This window comes from Homo sapiens, chromosome 5, assembly GCF_000001405.40.
Source record: "Homo sapiens chromosome 5, GRCh38.p14 Primary Assembly".
Classification (NCBI taxonomy): domain Eukaryota; kingdom Metazoa; phylum Chordata; class Mammalia; order Primates; family Hominidae; genus Homo; species Homo sapiens.
Window position 1 is genome coordinate 177,084,450 of NC_000005.10, and position 18,464 is coordinate 177,102,913.

General features: G+C 57.8%; 1 protein-coding gene across 5 annotated transcripts, besides 14 other annotated features; it reads left to right on the plus strand.

The window, feature by feature from the left end:
• Positions 2,077–2,126: a silencer, noted in NCBI's record as "silent region_16671". NCBI's record gives its function as "represses an Ori minimal core promoter by ATAC-STARR-seq in GM12878 lymphoblastoid cells {active_cell/tissue: GM12878}" and the evidence as "EXISTENCE:reporter gene assay evidence [ECO:0000049][PMID:35858748]".
• Positions 2,077–3,126: a biological region, named in NCBI's record as "FGFR4 5' regulatory region". NCBI's record gives its function as "regulatory_interactions: FGFR4".
• Positions 2,094–2,494: a DNaseI hypersensitive site, noted in NCBI's record as "HSS I-II; the nucleotide coordinates are approximate for this feature". NCBI's record gives the evidence for it as "EXISTENCE:in vivo cleavage assay evidence [ECO:0001075][PMID:12447688]".
• Positions 2,347–2,566: a promoter, noted in NCBI's record as "-115 to +99 promoter fragment". NCBI's record gives the evidence for it as "EXISTENCE:reporter gene assay evidence [ECO:0000049][PMID:11981041]".
• Positions 2,372–2,411: a protein binding site, noted in NCBI's record as "fragment B". NCBI's record gives the evidence for it as "EXISTENCE:protein binding evidence [ECO:0000024][PMID:15467729]".
• Positions 2,377–2,836: a silencer, noted in NCBI's record as "silent region_16672". NCBI's record gives its function as "represses an Ori minimal core promoter by ATAC-STARR-seq in GM12878 lymphoblastoid cells {active_cell/tissue: GM12878}" and the evidence as "EXISTENCE:reporter gene assay evidence [ECO:0000049][PMID:35858748]".
• Positions 2,402–2,441: a protein binding site, noted in NCBI's record as "fragment C". NCBI's record gives the evidence for it as "EXISTENCE:protein binding evidence [ECO:0000024][PMID:11981041]".
• Positions 2,402–2,441: a protein binding site, noted in NCBI's record as "fragment C". NCBI's record gives the evidence for it as "EXISTENCE:protein binding evidence [ECO:0000024][PMID:15467729]".
• Positions 2,466–13,695, plus strand: FGFR4 (fibroblast growth factor receptor 4). Of its 5 annotated transcripts, none has more exons than NM_213647.3 (18): positions 2,466–2,628; positions 5,101–5,244; positions 5,941–6,204; positions 6,296–6,376; positions 6,489–6,655; positions 7,236–7,359; positions 7,872–8,062; positions 8,197–8,335; positions 8,689–8,882; positions 8,957–9,102; positions 9,205–9,326; positions 10,881–10,991; positions 11,084–11,274; positions 11,608–11,730; positions 11,838–11,908; positions 12,155–12,292; positions 12,843–12,948; positions 13,078–13,695. In NM_213647.3, the coding sequence occupies exons 2-18, from the start codon at positions 5,154–5,156 to the stop codon at positions 13,225–13,227; spliced, it is 2,409 nt and encodes an 802-aa protein (NP_998812.1). In that variant the 5' UTR covers positions 2,466–2,628; positions 5,101–5,153; the 3' UTR covers positions 13,228–13,695. The 5 variants fall into 5 exon arrangements, with proteins under 5 accessions (NP_998812.1, NP_002002.3, NP_001278909.1 ...); NM_002011.5 differs by having other exon boundaries at positions 2,466–2,584; NM_001291980.2 differs by having other exon boundaries at positions 2,466–2,584; positions 8,689–8,728; positions 8,957–9,052.
• Positions 2,526–3,126: a DNaseI hypersensitive site, noted in NCBI's record as "HSS III; the nucleotide coordinates are approximate for this feature". NCBI's record gives the evidence for it as "EXISTENCE:in vivo cleavage assay evidence [ECO:0001075][PMID:12447688]".
• Positions 2,532–2,982: an enhancer, noted in NCBI's record as "NgoMIV fragment". NCBI's record gives the evidence for it as "EXISTENCE:reporter gene assay evidence [ECO:0000049][PMID:12447688]".
• Positions 2,564–2,590: a protein binding site, noted in NCBI's record as "FpD". NCBI's record gives the evidence for it as "EXISTENCE:protein binding evidence [ECO:0000024][PMID:12447688]".
• Positions 2,757–2,791: a protein binding site, noted in NCBI's record as "FpA". NCBI's record gives its function as "positive regulation of expression" and the evidence as "EXISTENCE:protein binding evidence [ECO:0000024][PMID:12447688]".
• Positions 2,835–2,860: a protein binding site, noted in NCBI's record as "FpB". NCBI's record gives its function as "positive regulation of expression" and the evidence as "EXISTENCE:protein binding evidence [ECO:0000024][PMID:12447688]".
• Positions 2,895–2,924: a protein binding site, noted in NCBI's record as "FpC". NCBI's record gives the evidence for it as "EXISTENCE:protein binding evidence [ECO:0000024][PMID:12447688]".

Sequence of the window (18,464 nt, forward strand, 5' to 3'; positions counted from 1 at the left end):
CTCCCAGGGCCAGGAGCCTCATCTGTCCTGGGAGCTCCAGCAAGGCAGGACTCTAGAGAAGGGAACCAGGACAAATTGTTTTTAAAAGATAACCAATTAAAAAAAAATTTATAATATACATATATATGTGTGGGTGTGTCTGTGTGTATGTATATACACACAGACACACAGACACACACAGACACACACACACACACACACACACACATATATATATATATATATATTTTTTTTTTTTTTTGGAGACAAAGTCTCACTCTGTCACCCAGTCTGGAGTGCAATGGCACGATCTCGGCTCACTGCAACCTCCACCTCCCGGGTTCAAGCAATTCTCTGCCTCAGCCTCCCTAGTAGCTGAGATTACAGGCACATGCCACCATGCCTGGCTAATTTTTTTGTATTTTTAGTAGAGCTGGGGTTTCACCATCTTGCCAGGTTGGTCTTGAACTCCTGACCTCGTGATCCACCCACCTAAGCCTCCCAAAGTGCTGAGATTACAGGCGTGAGCCACCGTGCCCAGCCTAATATATATTTTTAATAGAGACGAGATCTCACTATGTTGCCCAGGCTGGCCTCGAACTCCTGAGTTCAAGCGATCCTCCCGATTCAGCCTCCCACAGTGCTGGGATTATAGGCATGAGCCACCATGCCTGGCCTCAATTATTTTCTGATTTATCTTTGGGAGGAGACCATTCTTTCGCTTAAGAAGAAAAAGAAAAAAACAATTTTAAGTCTCTTTAATGGGCCTTACAGTTATGCAAAGATATGCCACTATCCCTTTGGGAGTGAGGGTGGAAAGAACTAGACTTGCCTGCGTAACAATGAGAAAGGAAGTTGCTTCTTAAGACAGGGTCTACACTAGCTAGAGGGGACAACCAGGACCTGAGCCTCAGACAGGGTCTCGCTCCATAGCCTGTTGCCCAGGCTACAGTGCAGTGGAGCGATCACGGCTCACTGCTGCCTCGACTTCCTGGGCTCAAGCAATCCTCTGGCCTCAGCCTCCCAAGTAGCTGGGACCACAGGTGCACCCAGCCCATTTCCCTTCCTCTCAAGGTGCCTTAAGAGAAGGAGAAGGCTTGAGATTCAGGTGAGGGATGGGCAGAGATCAGAGGCTGCCTGGCCTCCTGGTTTGGCCACAGTCTAGATGCTCAGGAGAGAAGTGCTTACAGGTGAGGCAAACATGAGCCAGGTGGGCACGGAGCTATCTGGGAGCACCTACTGTATGCCAGACACTTGAACTCTAATGGTGAGGTCTGAGGACACAGTTCCTCTACTGAAAAATAGAGACAGGGCAACTATGTTGCCAGGGCTGGCCTCACACTCCTGAATTCAAGCTGTCCTCCTACCTCAGTCTCCTAGTAACTAGAACTACAGGCACCCGTCATTGTGCCCGGCCATTCCACAGCTATTTACATAATTAACTGTTCAGTTACAATTCTGGCAAGCGTGCTGAAGAAATAACAGGTCCTAAATAATTACAGCTAGTATTACAAAGCAAGCGCTGCATGCCAGGCTTACACATACTGCTAACATGTCTACTTTTTGCAACAACCTCTTGTGGGTGAGACTATCATTTGCCTGTTTTACTGAAAGGACAGTGAAGACTGAGGCCTTGTGTGATGGTGCTGAGAGCTGGGCCTATGACGTCCAGCCCTGTAGTCTGTGCTCTGAACCACTTCACCCTGTTTCTTTCTCCATCCTCACAGTAGAGACGTCATCTAAGAGGAGCTTGCAAGTCCAGAGGGCTTCCTGAAGGAAGTGAGCTGAGAATAATATGAAATTAACCAGACCAAGGGCCATTCCAGGAAGAGAGAATGGTACGTGAAACTGCCCAGGAGTAGCAGGGTGGGAGCCAGGAGGCGTGGGTCATGGCAATCTATGTATAAAGAGCTATGGGAATCTATAGGAAAATTTAAGGGAGTGGCTGACACAGTCAGATTTGTGTTGTAAGTATCACTCCGCAGGTTGCGCAGGGAACAAATGAGGGAGCAGAAGGAAGGGGTTCTCCTATCCGCTGCACGGCACTGCGCAGAAGACAGGGGAGCCAGGCATTCCCTGAAGGGTGAAAAGCAAGGAGTAGAGCTGGGTAGTAGACTAGAATTTAGGAGCCTGGCCTGGGGCCTGGGTGGGGCGAAAGAGGCGGAGCCTGAATGGGGTGTGTATAGGGGGGTTGCGTGTAGGGGTGTGTGTATAGGCTGGGGCGGGGTCCCGGGAGTGGGCTGACTGGGTCGGGGGCGGGGCTCTCCAGGTGGGCGGGGATCTTGGCCACCCCTGGCCACACCTCTCTCCGGCTCGAGCTGGTCTAGGCGGGGCGGGCCCGAGGGGGTGTGGCAGGAGGTGGGCGGGCCCGGGTGGGGGGGGGGGGGGCGTGGAAGGAGGGGCGGGCCCGAGCAGGAGGGGGCGGGCCCGAGGGGCGGGGTGGGACAGGAGGTGGGCCGCTCGCGGCCACGCCGCCGTCGCGGGTACATTCCTCGCTCCCGGCCGAGGAGCGCTCGGGCTGTCTGCGGACCCTGCCGCGTGCAGGGGTCGCGGCCGGCTGGAGCTGGGAGTGAGGCGGCGGAGGAGCCAGGTGAGGAGGAGCCAGGTGAGCAGGACCCTGTGCTGGGCGCGGAGTCACGCAGGCTCGAGGTGAGCCGGAACCCTTGTGGGCCCGGGCTGCGCTCCCAGCCGCCAGGGGGCGAGAGGCGGCGGGGCTACGGGGACTGCCCCTCCCGGCGCAGGGGACCTGGGCGTCCGCCGGGCGGCAGGGGGTGGAGGGGGCGGTAAATCAGTAACCCGCAGTGCACACAGGGCCTTTTGTCCCGCTCCGTCCAAAGAGCACCCCGGCCGCGGAGCTGGTTACTCATTGCCCACCGAGGCGGGGGCAGGCTGGCCCTGTGCAGCTACCCTCGGGACCCATTGATTCGCACCTCCCCCCAGGCTGGCCCGGCAAGGGTGGGGGAGGACAAGCGCGCTTGTCCCTGCGGCTGTCTTCGCGCCGGCGGCAGAGATGAGGGACCTGAGGCCCCGAAAAGTTCAGTCACTTAGTGCCCGGGGGCCTCCAGCGCGAGTGCGGGAGGCTGAAGGAGAACCCAGGACTGTCTGATGCCTAAGGCAGGCCCTCCATTCCCACGTGGGGGGTGGTCGGTCAGCGGTCAGCAGCCATGGGTGACTCGACTAAGGACTCTGATATCAGGGCAGCCTGGGGTAGGAATAAACTCCCCGGGCCTCCCCACCCACTCCCAGCCCAAGCTGTGTACCCAAAGAGCTGCCCTCCCTGCCAAGCCGAGCTTGGTAGGGAGTTTTACCAAGGAGGATCCGACTGGATTCGAGAGTTGAGGTGGGCCAGAGACAGCAGTATCTGAGTCAGGTAGAGAAGAGCAATGAGGGGCACAGAGGGATGGGCAAGAGAGCACATGTGCCCAGTTTTGAAAGCCAATGGCTTCAGCGCTCCTGAAGGGGCAGACGGTGTGACCAAAGAGATAGGCAGCGGCAGAGAGGGAGCCCTAGGATGTTGAGCTGGATCCTGCTGGGCACAGGTAGCCATTAAGGGCTTGCAAGCTGGGGGGCATGACATGGCAGACTTGCAGGTTTTTTTGTTTGTTTTTTTATTTTATTTTATTTTTTTATTTTGTTTTTTTTGAGACGGAGTCTCACTCTGTCGCCCAGGCTGGAGTGCAGTGGCGCGATCTCGGCTCACTGCAAGCTCCGCCTCCCGGGTTCGCGCCATTCTCCTGCCTCAGCCTCCCGAGTAGCTGGGACTACAGGCGCCCGCCACCGCGCCCGGCTAATTTTTTGTATTTTTAGTAGAGACGGGGTTTCACCGTGTTAGCCAGGATGTTCTCGATCTCCTGACCTCGTGATCCGCCCACCTCGGCCTCCCAAAGTGCTGGGATTACAGGTGTGAACCATCGCGCCCAGCCGACTTGTAGTTTTTTAAAACTCTGCTGGAAGATGAAGGTTGAAGAGCCGAGGGAGAGGATGTTTCCAGAGGCCCATGCAAGAGATGGCCATGACCTGCCTTGAGAAGGGGCAGGGGAAGCCAGATGGACTGGAAGTGGAGTGGCAGTGACCAAGGAGGAGGAGGTGTGATAGGCTTCCCACGCAGGGTAGATCCAGAGACACCAGTGCCACCCATAGGCCCCTAGGACTGCAGTGGTCACCGATTCCTTTGTCCCAGCTGAGACTCAGTTCTGAGTGTTCTATTTTGGGGAACAGAGGCGTCCTTGGTAGCATTTGGAAGAGGATAGCCAGCTGGGGTGTGTGTACATCACAGCCTGACAGTAACAGCATCCGAACCAGAGGTGACTGGCTAAGGGCAGACCCAGGGCAACAGGTTAACCGTTCTAGGGCCGGGCACAGGGAGGAGAACATTCCAACACTCTGCGTGCCGACGCACGTTCTCTCTTTTATCCTCAAAACAGTCCTATGAGGATAGTAAGCCAGAGAGAGACAGAGACAAGGAATTACAAGTTGGTGAGAGTCAGGATTTGAACTTGGCTCTGGCAGATGGAAAATTAGGGTCTGTATTCTTTACAAAACCGTGTGTGCCTCAGATGGAGTTGGTGCATAACAAGCAGAGGTATCCAGGGTCGCGGTCCTGCTTGCCACGGAAGGGGCCGCCTTGTCAGTTGTGACCACCCAGCCCTGGAAATGTCAGTAATGCTGTAAGGAGTGGGGATCGGATCAGATGCCATCCAGATGCTGAAGTTTGACCTTGTGTCATTTTTCACTTTCTTTTTTGGCTCTTCTGCAATCAATTCATTTATTTAGCAAAAAAGAAATTATGTGTGCCGAGAGCATGCAGAAGATATGTCTCCGTTCTCTGCTTCCCTCCAAAAAAGAATCCCAAAACTGCTTTCTGTGAACGTGTGCCAGGGTCCCAGCAGGACTCAGGGAGAGCAGGAAGCCCAGCCCAGACCCCTTGCACAACCTACCGTGGGGAGGCCTTAGGCTCTGGCTACTACAGAGCTGGTTCCAGTCTGCACTGCCACAGCCTGGCCAGGGACTTGGACACATCTGCTGGCCACTTCCTGTCTCAGTTTCCTTATCTGCAAAATAAGGGAAAAGCCCCCACAAAGGTGCACGTGTAGCAGGAGCTCTTTTCCCTCCCTATTTTAGGAAGGCAGTTGGTGGGAAGTCCAGCTTGGGTCCCTGAGAGCTGTGAGAAGGAGATGCGGCTGCTGCTGGCCCTGTTGGGGGTCCTGCTGAGTGTGCCTGGGCCTCCAGTCTTGTCCCTGGAGGCCTCTGAGGAAGTGGAGCTTGGTATGGCTTCTGAGGTGGGAGAGGGTGGCAGGGGTGGGAAGAGTGGGCACCAGGAGGGGGCTGCTGGGCTGAGCAAAGCTGGAAAGGATCCTTGCCCAGGCCCTGAGAAGGTGGCGGCAGGGCAGGGCTCAACCACTGAGACTCAGTCAGTGCCTGGCTTCCAGCAAGCATTCATCTATCACTGTGTCTGCGAGAGAGGACTGGCCTTGCAGGGCGCAGGGCCCTAAGCTGGGCTGCAGAGCTGGTGGTGAGCTCCTTACCTGGGTGTGTGTGCGTGTGTGTGTGTGTTCTGTGCACTGGGTGTGTGACCTAGGAGGTCCAGGCAGCATGTGTGGTATAAGCATTATGAGGGTGATATGCCCCGGTGCAGCATGACCCTGTATGTGGCACCAACAGCATGTGCCTTGTGTGTGTGTGTGTCCGTATGTGTGTGTGTGTATGCGTGTGTGTGTGTGTGTGTGTCTTGGCCACTGTCGTGTGCACTAAATGCTGTGTGTGTGACATGCCCCAAGAGTGTGGCATTTGCCCTGGGTGTGGCATCCGCAGCATGTGGCTGTGTGGGTGTCAAGGAGTGGTGGCTCCTTCAGCATGCGTTGCAAAGTGCTTGTGCCCTGCATGTGCGGTGTGTTCTTTGTACACAGGAGGCTGCCTCAGATGGGGCTGCGGGGTCTGCTGACCTCTGCCCTCTGCCCACAGAGCCCTGCCTGGCTCCCAGCCTGGAGCAGCAAGAGCAGGAGCTGACAGTAGCCCTTGGGCAGCCTGTGCGTCTGTGCTGTGGGCGGGCTGAGCGTGGTGGCCACTGGTACAAGGAGGGCAGTCGCCTGGCACCTGCTGGCCGTGTACGGGGCTGGAGGGGCCGCCTAGAGATTGCCAGCTTCCTACCTGAGGATGCTGGCCGCTACCTCTGCCTGGCACGAGGCTCCATGATCGTCCTGCAGAATCTCACCTTGATTACAGGTGGTAAGAGACTCTAGCAGGGAGTGAAGGGATGCCTGGGGAGACAGACCTGCCCCTCTTGGACCTTAGATGCTTCCCTCTGTCCCTGATGTAGACTCCTTGACCTCCAGCAACGATGATGAGGACCCCAAGTCCCATAGGGACCCCTCGAATAGGCACAGTTACCCCCAGCAAGGTCAGTAGGTCTCCAAGGACTTGTGTCCCCGCTGCTGCTCATCTGATCACTGAGAAGAGGAGGCCTGTGTGGGAACACACGGTCATTCTAGGGGCCTTCCCCTGCCCTCCAGCACCCTACTGGACACACCCCCAGCGCATGGAGAAGAAACTGCATGCAGTACCTGCGGGGAACACCGTCAAGTTCCGCTGTCCAGCTGCAGGCAACCCCACGCCCACCATCCGCTGGCTTAAGGATGGACAGGCCTTTCATGGGGAGAACCGCATTGGAGGCATTCGGGTGAGTCTCTGGGTTCCAAGACCGTCTGCTCCCCCATTTTCATTCCTTCATCAGTCCCCTCATACCTACAAGCATACCTATAAATCAATCGAATGAGTGAAGCGATTGCGGGGCCCCGGAAGGAGCCCTGGACTGTGGACCTGGGCAGCTCTGGTTCCCCTTCTGCTACTCTCTGGCAAGTGACTTAACCTCTCAGCCTCAGCAACTCCATTTGTAAAGGGAGAAGAATCACTGACTGGTTGGTCTGCATAAGCCTTAGCATCTCATCGTCTTGATGAGACCCTGCAGGGTCGGCTCCATGCTGTCATGAGGCAACTGAGTCTCAGAGAAGGCAAGGGTTGGCTCAAAGTAGCACAGCTAGGGAGAGGGAGAGCTAAAATTCCAAAGGCTCAAACCCAAGGCTCAAGCGCCCTGGGGAGCCTACTCCTTTGTGCCATAGTCCTTGGCCTGGGCCTGATGTTCTCAGGGCCTAGAGAGCTTGACAAGAGCCCTGTGGGCAGGATGAGGATCTAGCCTCCTGGTCCTCTGGCCCCCTTGGTGGACATGGTCCGGTGGTCCCGGACACTCTCTCTGCCTGCAGCTGCGCCATCAGCACTGGAGTCTCGTGATGGAGAGCGTGGTGCCCTCGGACCGCGGCACATACACCTGCCTGGTAGAGAACGCTGTGGGCAGCATCCGCTATAACTACCTGCTAGATGTGCTGGGTGAGCGCGGGGCTGGGAACAGGGGAGGCCTGACCCATTTTGGGCTCAGTTGTGCCCTCTTGGTGGGGTCTAGTCTGGCAGGCAGGATGGACTCAGATGAGTCAGGCAGCTTGGTGAGCAGGTGGGTCAGGGGAAAGCACAGGGGTTAGTGTGGGGCTGGAGGAGCAGAGGTCTGCCAAGAGGAAAAACAAGAAGGACATCCAGGCAGAGGGCGCAGCCCGAGCGGAGGGCCTGAGTATAACAAACGCCCTGCACTTGCAGGCCAGCATATTCGTAGGGCGTGGCGTTTATATGGGGAGCCAGGTGGTGGAGGGTTTTGAATGCTAGGCTGAGATGTTGTCCTTGACCCGAAGCAATAGGGAGCCAGGGAAGGTTTAAGCAGGGTAAGCAGGAGACAGACAAGAAGCTGCAGAAAGGTCCCTCCCTTGAACTTGAGGAAGGCTGGAGGGAGGCAAACAGGGTGCTTCTATGGGTGCCGGTGGTCAGGGTTGACTGTCTCGCCCGGTCCCCAGAGCGGTCCCCGCACCGGCCCATCCTGCAGGCCGGGCTCCCGGCCAACACCACAGCCGTGGTGGGCAGCGACGTGGAGCTGCTGTGCAAGGTGTACAGCGATGCCCAGCCCCACATCCAGTGGCTGAAGCACATCGTCATCAACGGCAGCAGCTTCGGAGCCGACGGTTTCCCCTATGTGCAAGTCCTAAAGGTAAAAGGTGCACCCTGCTGCAGCCTGGGCCCCATTCTTCTCCCACCTTGGGTTGGGGGGCTCCCCAGCTTCCCTGTTGGCCACAGTGTGGCCCCAGGCCCTGCTGTGACCCCAGAGCATGTCCCCCACCCCAGACTGCAGACATCAATAGCTCAGAGGTGGAGGTCCTGTACCTGCGGAACGTGTCAGCCGAGGACGCAGGCGAGTACACCTGCCTCGCAGGCAATTCCATCGGCCTCTCCTACCAGTCTGCCTGGCTCACGGTGCTGCCAGGTGAGCACCTGAAGGGCCAGGAGATGCTGCGAGATGCCCCTCTGGGCCAGCAGTGGGGGCTGTGGCCTGTTGGGTGGTCAGTCTCTGTTGGCCTGTGGGGTCTGGCCTGGGGGGCAGTGTGTGGATTTGTGGGTTTGAGCTGTATGACAGCCCCTCTGTGCCTCTCCACACGTGGCCGTCCATGTGACCGTCTGCTGAGGTGTGGGTGCCTGGGACTGGGCATAACTACAGCTTCCTCCGTGTGTGTCCCCACATATGTTGGGAGCTGGGAGGGACTGAGTTAGGGTGCACGGGGCGGCCAGTCTCACCACTGACCAGTTTGTCTGTCTGTGTGTGTCCATGTGCGAGGGCAGAGGAGGACCCCACATGGACCGCAGCAGCGCCCGAGGCCAGGTATACGGACATCATCCTGTACGCGTCGGGCTCCCTGGCCTTGGCTGTGCTCCTGCTGCTGGCCGGGCTGTATCGAGGGCAGGCGCTCCACGGCCGGCACCCCCGCCCGCCCGCCACTGTGCAGAAGCTCTCCCGCTTCCCTCTGGCCCGACAGGTACTGGGCGCATCCCCCACCTCACATGTGACAGCCTGACTCCAGCAGGCAGAACCAAGTCTCCCACTTTGCAGTTCTCCCTGGAGTCAGGCTCTTCCGGCAAGTCAAGCTCATCCCTGGTACGAGGCGTGCGTCTCTCCTCCAGCGGCCCCGCCTTGCTCGCCGGCCTCGTGAGTCTAGATCTACCTCTCGACCCACTATGGGAGTTCCCCCGGGACAGGTGCGCTGAGCTGTGTGGGGGCAGGGACGCGGGCGCCGGGTTGCAGCCCGCCCTCCGCAGGAGTGACTCGGAGGTCTGAGGCTGGACTTTCTCCATCTCCAGGCTGGTGCTTGGGAAGCCCCTAGGCGAGGGCTGCTTTGGCCAGGTAGTACGTGCAGAGGCCTTTGGCATGGACCCTGCCCGGCCTGACCAAGCCAGCACTGTGGCCGTCAAGATGCTCAAAGGTGAGTGTGGCCCGGTGTGGTGGCTCACACCTGTAACGCCAGCACTTTAGGAGGCTGAGGGTGGGAGGATCGCTTGAATCCAGGAATTCGAGGCCAGCCTGGGCAACATGGCAAGACTTCATCTCTACAAAAAAAAAATAAGAAAATTAGTTGGGTGTGGTGGTGTGTGCCTTTAGTCTCAGTTACTAGGGAGGCTGAGGCAGGAGGATCCCTTGAATCCAGGAGTTGGAGGTTGCAGGGAGCCATGATCACGCCACTGTATTCCAGCCTGGGCAACACAGTGAGACCCTATCTGAAAAAATAAATAAATAAATAAAAATAAAAGGTGAACGTGGCAGCCTGGAGGAGGTGCTATGGCATTGGGACTAATAGAAGGGGCTCACGGTGCCACCAGGTGAGCCCTGGAGCTGGGAGAGGCTGTGGGATCCCACCCTTAAACCTGCAATTCACCTCTGCTCCTGACCCTGGCAAGTGACTTCTGAGCCTCAGTTTTCCCTTGTGTCATATGGGGTAGATAACAGTCCCTACTCCCAGCCCAAGGATTGTGGAAAGTGCCTGGCTCATAGTCAGGGCTCAATAAATCTTCACCACTGGGGTGATGATGATGAGAAGAATTTGGTGTGACAGGCTTGATATCCTGTGTCAGCATTAGTCTGTGTCAGCTTTGACTTCACATCTCCTTGTCAGCCTCACAGGCCCTCTACCTCCTTCCTTATGGTTCCCCCCAGACACACCCTCAGCCTCCCTTGGACCCTCCCTAGGTCTGCCCCCCACGTCCACTGCTGTAGGAGGACAGCCCTTCTGCTTGCACCCAGGCCCAGCCCCGGGGTGCTCTTGCTGGGCACTCCTGCACCCCACCCATCAGGGCCTCTCCTTGCAGTTCCCCAGCCCCCTCTGCAAGAATGGCCTCCACTGCTCTTCTGCTCCTCCCCTCCTCTCTACACAGCTGGGGCCACCTGGTGCTCCCTGGGAGGCAGGGATTGAGAAATGCACATTGTGTCATTGGCCCAGGGCCACAGGTCAGCCCCAGGGGCTCAGCCAGAGAAGCCAAAGCAGCCTTCTTCCCAAGCTCCCCGGCTGCACCCGGCCTGCCGCCAGCTCCCTGAATTCCCAGGCCAGTTGGAAGCCAGGCCCTGGTCAAACAGACCCCAGGGCGCCAGCCTGCTTTCCGCACCCAGAAGCTCTGACCCCATGCGGGGACTACCGCTGACCCCTCCAGCGGCAGCTTCCTTCCTTCCTTCCTGCTCCGAGCTCTTCCCCTCTCTCCTGTGTCCTGGGCCTGCCCGCTGGAAGGCCTGCCTCTTAGATCCTTGATACAGTTGCATCCTTGCAACTGCTGTGACAGGCAGGGTGTGACCCACTGCTCTGTTTCCCACAAGACGAACCTGAGGTTCAGAGACGCTAGGAGACTTTTTCAAGGCCACACAGCCTAGCAAGGATTCAGCCCTAGACCTACGTAGCCCTGGTCCAGTGCTGCTTGTCCTGCACCTGCCTCTGCATGCTCCCTCGTGCAGTTGGAGGGCAGCCTCTTCACCCCGTCTGCTGCCCTTACAGACAACGCCTCTGACAAGGACCTGGCCGACCTGGTCTCGGAGATGGAGGTGATGAAGCTGATCGGCCGACACAAGAACATCATCAACCTGCTTGGTGTCTGCACCCAGGAAGGTGGGGCCGAGGCGGGGCTGGCTGCACGGGCCGTTAGGGTGCAGAGCCAAAGCTTTGGCAGCCTCTCCACGCTCCCTCCACTCCCTCTGCAGGGCCCCTGTACGTGATCGTGGAGTGCGCCGCCAAGGGAAACCTGCGGGAGTTCCTGCGGGCCCGGCGCCCCCCAGGCCCCGACCTCAGCCCCGACGGTCCTCGGAGCAGTGAGGGGCCGCTCTCCTTCCCAGTCCTGGTCTCCTGCGCCTACCAGGTGGCCCGAGGCATGCAGTATCTGGAGTCCCGGAAGGTACAGGCGCTAGGGCTCTGAGCCCCTCTCAGTCTCTCCAGCTCCACTCTCAGGCCTGTGGCATTCAATGTCCCGACTTCTCCCTCTCTGCTCTTTTTCATGACCCCACCTCAGTGTCCCCAGGCATTCACGCTTTCCTGCATTCCCCACTCGTTCCTCACCCTTCCCCAGAGGGGAGAGGGGACGCAGGAGAAGGCACTCCCCGTTTCTAAACCTTGACCTCCTCCTCTGTAAAGTGGGTGGAGGGCCCCTGCCCCCGGGCCTGCTGGGGGGTGGTGTGTGCTCAACTCCAGGCCAGGTGTCCTGAGGCACCCAAGCCCCCGCTCCCTGCAGTGTATCCACCGGGACCTGGCTGCCCGCAATGTGCTGGTGACTGAGGACAATGTGATGAAGATTGCTGACTTTGGGCTGGCCCGCGGCGTCCACCACATTGACTACTATAAGAAAACCAGCAACGTGAGGGAGATGGGGCAGAACTGGATGGGGGTGGAGGGGCACTGGGCCCGGGGTGGCAGGCACGAGGACCTGTGGGACTCTGCACTGAGGCCCTCTCTCCCCTCCAGGGCCGCCTGCCTGTGAAGTGGATGGCGCCCGAGGCCTTGTTTGACCGGGTGTACACACACCAGAGTGACGTGTGAGTCCTGCCGGCGGTCACTGTCCTACCCCACAAAAAGGGCAAGGCACTGCCCAAAGTCACGTGGCCCCAGGAGTCATGCGCTCGAGGGCTCCTTCAGATTTGGTCTGGGACCCGAGTGGGCCCAGACTCCAGGAGGAGCCCATTCCCCAACAGCTGTGGTGGGTCATGTCTGTGGGGTCCCCCGTCCTAGCCCCGGTCGTCGGGAGGGCGCTGAGCCACACTGAGCCCTGGCCCTACCTCCAGGTGGTCTTTTGGGATCCTGCTATGGGAGATCTTCACCCTCGGGGGCTCCCCGTATCCTGGCATCCCGGTGGAGGAGCTGTTCTCGCTGCTGCGGGAGGGACATCGGATGGACCGACCCCCACACTGCCCCCCAGAGCTGTGAGGCCTCACCCTGCCCTCGACCCCACTTTCCAGTCCTCCTCCTCCTCTGCCCTGACCATGGCCTCAGGGTGTGTCCCGGCCAGAAGGACAACACTAACAACAACTCCTCGTCCTCCTCCTCCTCTTCCTCTTCCTCCTCCTCCTCTTCCTCCTCCTCCTCTTCCTCCTCCTCTTCCTCCTCCTCCTCTTCCTCCTCCTCCTCTTCCTCCTTCTCCTCCTGCTCCTCTTCCTCCTCCTTCTCTTCCTCCTCCTCCTCTTCCTCCTCCTCCTCTTCCTCCTCCTCCTCTTCCTCCTTCTCCTCCTGCTCCTCTTCCTCCTCCTTCTCTTCCTCCTCCTTCTCTTCCTCCTCCTCCTCCTGCTCCTCTTCCTCCTCCTCCTCTTCCTCCTCCTCAGCCTAGTGGAGTGTCCTGGCCTGGCTTCTACTGATGACCCTCCTATCCCTCATCAAACTCCCCACCAAACTCCTCCCCACCCAGAGAACCCCCGGTCCTCCCCTTCCTCCTGAAGGCCTGAGGCTCCCTGTGACCCTCCGCCCCACCTCTCGCAGGTACGGGCTGATGCGTGAGTGCTGGCACGCAGCGCCCTCCCAGAGGCCTACCTTCAAGCAGCTGGTGGAGGCGCTGGACAAGGTCCTGCTGGCCGTCTCTGAGGAGGTACAGCCCCTCCCACCCACCACCTCCCTCTGCCTGCTCCCCTCCAGGCCTCATCTGGCCTGACCGCGTGGACATGCGCCCCGTCCCATCCCGGGCGCTGCAGAGGCTGACCAGCTCCGTTCCCCACAGTACCTCGACCTCCGCCTGACCTTCGGACCCTATTCCCCCTCTGGTGGGGACGCCAGCAGCACCTGCTCCTCCAGCGATTCTGTCTTCAGCCACGACCCCCTGCCATTGGGATCCAGCTCCTTCCCCTTCGGGTCTGGGGTGCAGACATGAGCAAGGCTCAAGGCTGTGCAGGCACATAGGCTGGTGGCCTTGGGCCTTGGGGCTCAGCCACAGCCTGACACAGTGCTCGACCTTGATAGCATGGGGCCCCTGGCCCAGAGTTGCTGTGCCGTGTCCAAGGGCCGTGCCCTTGCCCTTGGAGCTGCCGTGCCTGTGTCCTGATGGCCCAAATGTCAGGGTTCTGCTCGGCTTCTTGGACCTTGGCGCTTAGTCCCCATCCCGGGTTTGGCTGAGCCTGGCTGGAGAGCTGCTATGCTAAACCTCCTGCCTCCCAATACCAGCAGGAGGTTCTGGGCCTCTGAACCCCCTTTCCCCACACCTCCCCCTGCTGCTGCTGCCCCAGCGTCTTGACGGGAGCATTGGCCCCTGAGCCCAGAGAAGCTGGAAGCCTGCCGAAAACAGGAGCAAATGGCGTTTTATAAATTATTTTTTTGAAATAAAGCTCTGTGTGCCTGGGTCTTCCCTGAGCAACATGGAGTGGGGTGAGGTGGAGGGATCCCTCCAGCAGAGTTCTGCCTACAGGACACGGACTGAGGGCACTGGACCAGGCCATGGGCTCCGCCACCTCCACTGCCCCAGGAGCCAGTGTGTGCCTATCTGGGTCCGCCTGTCCCACCAGCCCCATCTTGTGTCTGCGACAGTGTGAATGAGTATTAATGGGCTGAGTCCGCATTGCACTATACACGGTGGGACTCCTGTACCCTCTGCACATGTGTGTGTGTGCATGTGTGCCCTGCAGCTGTCCCCAAGGGAGCTGGCAGCCCCCCTCCCCCATCTGCTCAGCATTAACCAAGCTGACCGTTAACACAGCATGAAAATCTGAGAGCCAGCCTTAGGCCGCGGCCCGCTCCCACGCTCTGCCGGCTCAGGCTGGGGGCTTGTGGAGGCCATGCCCGCCCCGCCCTGGCCAGTCTCCCGGGCAGCAGCTGGTTGCCGCCCGCCTGGGCTGCAGCTGTCCCTGCCTGCCTGGTCTTCCACTGAGGAGCCGTCACAGCCCTGTACTCAGAGCTCCTCAGAGTGAGCAGCTTCTCAAGGCTCTGAGCCTGGAACCTCCTTCCCTGGCCCCATCCTGGCACGTACTGCTACTCCCCAGCCCCTGAGCCTTGAGTGGGCCATGGGGGGCCCAGGCATGGTGTCTGACCCAGCACTTGGCACTCTCCTGTCCTTTTCCTTACAGGCCTCAGGCTGGGACAGGACTGCCCAACCAGGACAGCCTTCATGGAGGCCATCGGGATTGCCCCCGTCTGCCCCCAGGGAGTGGTGGCTGAAAATGCATATGCGGTCAGAGGGGTCAGACAGAGGGATTGGAGGCTGGGGCCTCCTTGGAAGACTGAGCGTCAGCTCATGATTGTTTATCCTCACTCTGGGCTCCTCCCAGCTCTCAGCATAGCCTCTCCAGCTGACGGTATCCCACACAGAACTCATCTTACCCCCAGAACTGTACCTCCTCCAGGGCAGGAACCAGGGAGTCACCTGACTACTTCCCTCAAGAACCCTGTTCCAGGCCAGGTGCGGCAGCTCACCCCTGTAATCCCAGCACTTTGGGAGGCCGAGGCGGGCGGATCACCTGAGGTCAAGAATTCGAGACCATTCTGGACAACATGGCAAAACCCTGTCTCTACTAAAAAATACAAAAATTAGCCGGGCATAGTGGGGCACACCTGTAGTCCCAGCTACTCAGGAGGCTGAGGCAGGAGAATCATTTGAATCTGGGAGGCGAGGGTTGCAGTGAACCGAGATCGTGCCAGCCTGGGCTAGGGAGCAAGGCTCTGTCGCAAAAAAAAAAAAAAAACAACCCTATTCCCTCATGCGCTTCCACGGTCCAGCGTGGCTCCTGAGGCCAGCACTGCCACCTCTCTGATAATACTGTCTTTGCCCATGAGTAGGGTGCACCTGTCCCGCCTGCCTCCTGGGGCGTAGGGTTTAGGAGGAAGCACGTGCAGATGCACATAGGCTTGGGGGAGGGTGTGATGCGGAGGCCCATGGGTTGGGCTGCGGTGCTTCCCTGGGAGCCGGTGCTGGGGCTTTTGTGTCCCTGAGTGCCCCCCTCCGAGCCCTAGGTATCCAGCCTCCCTTTTGCTCCCTCCCCTGCAGGTGGCTCCAGAGGTAGCTTCCAAAAGCAGACTGGGTTTATGCTCCCTCCTGCTCTCAAAGACCCCCACTAACTCCCGAAAGCCCCCAGACTGACCAACTTTCTTTTTCCTTCCTTCCTTCCTTCTTTTCTTCCTTCCTTCCTTCCTTCTTCCCTCCCTCTCTCTCTTTCTTTCTTTTTCTCTTTCTTTTCCTTCCTTCCTTTCCTTTCCTTTTGCTCCTTCCCTCCCCTCTCTGTCTTCCTTTCTCTCTTTCTCTCTCTCCTCCCTCCCTCCCTCCCTCCCTTCCTTCCTTCCTCTCTCTCTCTCCCTCTCTTTTTCTCTCTCTTCTTTCTTTCTTTCTCTCTCTTTCTTTCTTTTTCTTTTTTTTTTTTTGAGACAAGGTCTTGATCTGTTGCCCGGATTGGAGTGCAGTAATGCCATGGTCATGGCTCTGCTGCCTCAAACTCCTGGGCTCAAGCAACCCTCCCACCTCAGCCTGCCAAGTGTGTAGGACTACAGGTGCATGCCACCATACATGGATAATTATTTTTTAGTTTTTGTAGAGATGGGGTTTTGCTATGTTGTCCAAGCTGGTCTCAAACTCCTGGCCTCAAGCAATCCTCCCACCTTGGCCTCCCAAGGTTCCCAAGCCACTGGACATTCTGACTGAGCCCCTCTCTCCAATGTATAGCCTCCCATTGGGGGGTCACTGTCCACTGACTGTGTCCGCCTGTCCAGCCAATCACAGGAGAAGCAGATCCCTTGGACCTGACCTTGGGAAGGAGAGGACTGGGAGATTAGAATCGTGTGTGAGGACAGTATTCTAAGGGGATGTGGAACAACAGCCCCATTTTCCAATTTCCCACCATGAGCCTGCTGCGGTGCCAGGCTCAACCAACCACGCTCTCCCCTGCCACAGCCTTGCCAAATAAAGATTGTTCTTCCCATTTAACGATGGAGAAACTGAGGTCCAGGGTCACAAGAATGGGGCTCCAGGAAGGAGCTAGGCTGAACCCCAGGTTCCCAGAAGGCCATGTGCACATTGGAGACCAGACCCAGGTCACTCAGAGTGACAGGGGCAGCTGCTGCCTGGTGGGTCCTGGGGGCCGGGAGGGGCTCAGCTGCCCACCCTGCACCCCCTCCCTGCCAGCGTCCCTGGCAGGCACACGCTTCCTGGGGCCATTCCACATTCCTGATGTCCCATGTCAGAATGACACATATACTGCTAATTCCCCTATGCGAGCTCTGATGCTCCAGCTCTCTGCCCTCCCCTCCCCGCTCCCGGCAGCATGGCAGCAGCTGGGGCCTGGCCTCCCTGGTCTGCCTGGGTTCTAGCCTGTGACAGGGGCCCATAGAAAAAGCACTGAGGCCGGGCCAGGCACAGTGGCTCACGCCTGTAATCCCAGCACTTTGGGAGGCTGAGGTGGATGGATCACGAGGTCAGGAGATCGAGACCATCCCGGCTAACATGGTGAAACCCCGTCTCTACTAAAAATACAAAAAATTAGCCGGGCATGGTGGGTGCCTGTAGTCCCAGCTACTTGGGAGGCTGAGGCAGGAGAATGGCATGAACCCAGGAGGCGGAGCTTGCAGTGAGCGGAGATGGCACCACTGCACTCCAGCCTGGGCGACAGAGCAAGACTCCGGCTCAAGAGAAAAAAAAAAAAAGAAAGAAAAGAAAGCACTGAGGACAGGCACAGTGGCTCACCCCTGAAATCTCAACACTTTGGGAGGCTGAGGCAGGCGGATCACCCGAGGTCAGGAGTTCGAGACCAGCCTGGCCAACATGGTGAAACCCTGACTCTACTGAAAATACAAAAATTAGCCGGGCGTGGTGGCGGGCACCTGTAGTCTCAGCTACTTGGGTGGCTGAGGCAGGAGAATCGCTTGAACCTGGGAAGTGGAGGTTGCAGTGACCCAAGATTGCACCACTGTGCTCCAGCCTGGGTGACAGAGGGAGACTCCGTCCCAAAAGAAAAAAAAAGAAGGCCGGGAGAGGTGGCTCATGCCTGTAATCCCAGCCTTTGGGTAGCCGAGCCGGCCGGATCACCTAAAGTCAAGAGTTCCAGACCAGCCTGCCCAACATGGTGAAACCCTGTCTCTACTAAAAATACAAAAATTAGCCGGGCGTGGTGGTGGGCGCCTGTAATCCCAGCTACTTGGGAGGCTGACACAGAAGAATCACTTGAATCCGGGAGGCGGAGGTTGCAGTGAGCCGAGATTGAGCCACTGCACTCCAGCCTGGGCAACAAGAGCGAAACTCCATCTCAAAAAAGAAAAGAAAAAGCACTGAGCCCACCTCTGCACTCTGCCTCTTGCTGGCTTTGTACATAAGGCAGGGTTCTGGTGGCATCAAGACAGTGACTCTGACTTGGGAAGCCCTAGCCAAGGGATGGAGGCTGCTGGCTGGGGAGTCAGCACCTGGGAGGGAGGGGGAGGCGCACGGTGGAGGGGAGGGGCTGCAGGCTGAGTAGCCTCCATTTGAGATGCTTGGGACCAGAAGTGTTTCAGATTTCAGATTTTTCAGAGTTTGTAATCTTAGAAACAGGACCTACATCTAAACACAAAATTCATGTTTCATATACAAAATGTTTCTAATTCAAAATTTATGTTTCACATACACCTTGTATACATAACCTAAAGGTAATTTTATACAATATTTTAAATAATTTTGAGCATGAAACAAAGTTTGTGTATACCGAACCATCAGCACAGTAGGGGGCCGGGCGTGGCGGCTCACACCTATAATCCCAGCACTTTGGGAGGCCAAAGCCGGTGAATCACCTGAGCTCAGGGGTTCAAGACCAGCCTGAGCAAAATGGTGAAACCCCCATCTCTACAAAAAAATACAAAAATTGGCCAGCCAGGCACAGTGGCTCACGCCTGTAATCCCAGCAGTTTGGTAGGCCGAGGCAGGTGGATCACCTGAGGTCAGGAGTTTGAGACGAACCCAGCCAACATGGTGAAAACCCATCTCTACTAAAAATACAAAAATTAGCTGGGCATGGTGGCGCGCCCCTGTAATCCTAGCTACTTGGGAGGCTGAGGTGGAAGAATTGCTTGAACCCAGGAGGTAGAGGCTGCAGTGAGCGGAGATCACACCATTGCACTCCAGCCTGGGTGACAGAGAGAGACTCCATCTCAAAAAAAAAACAA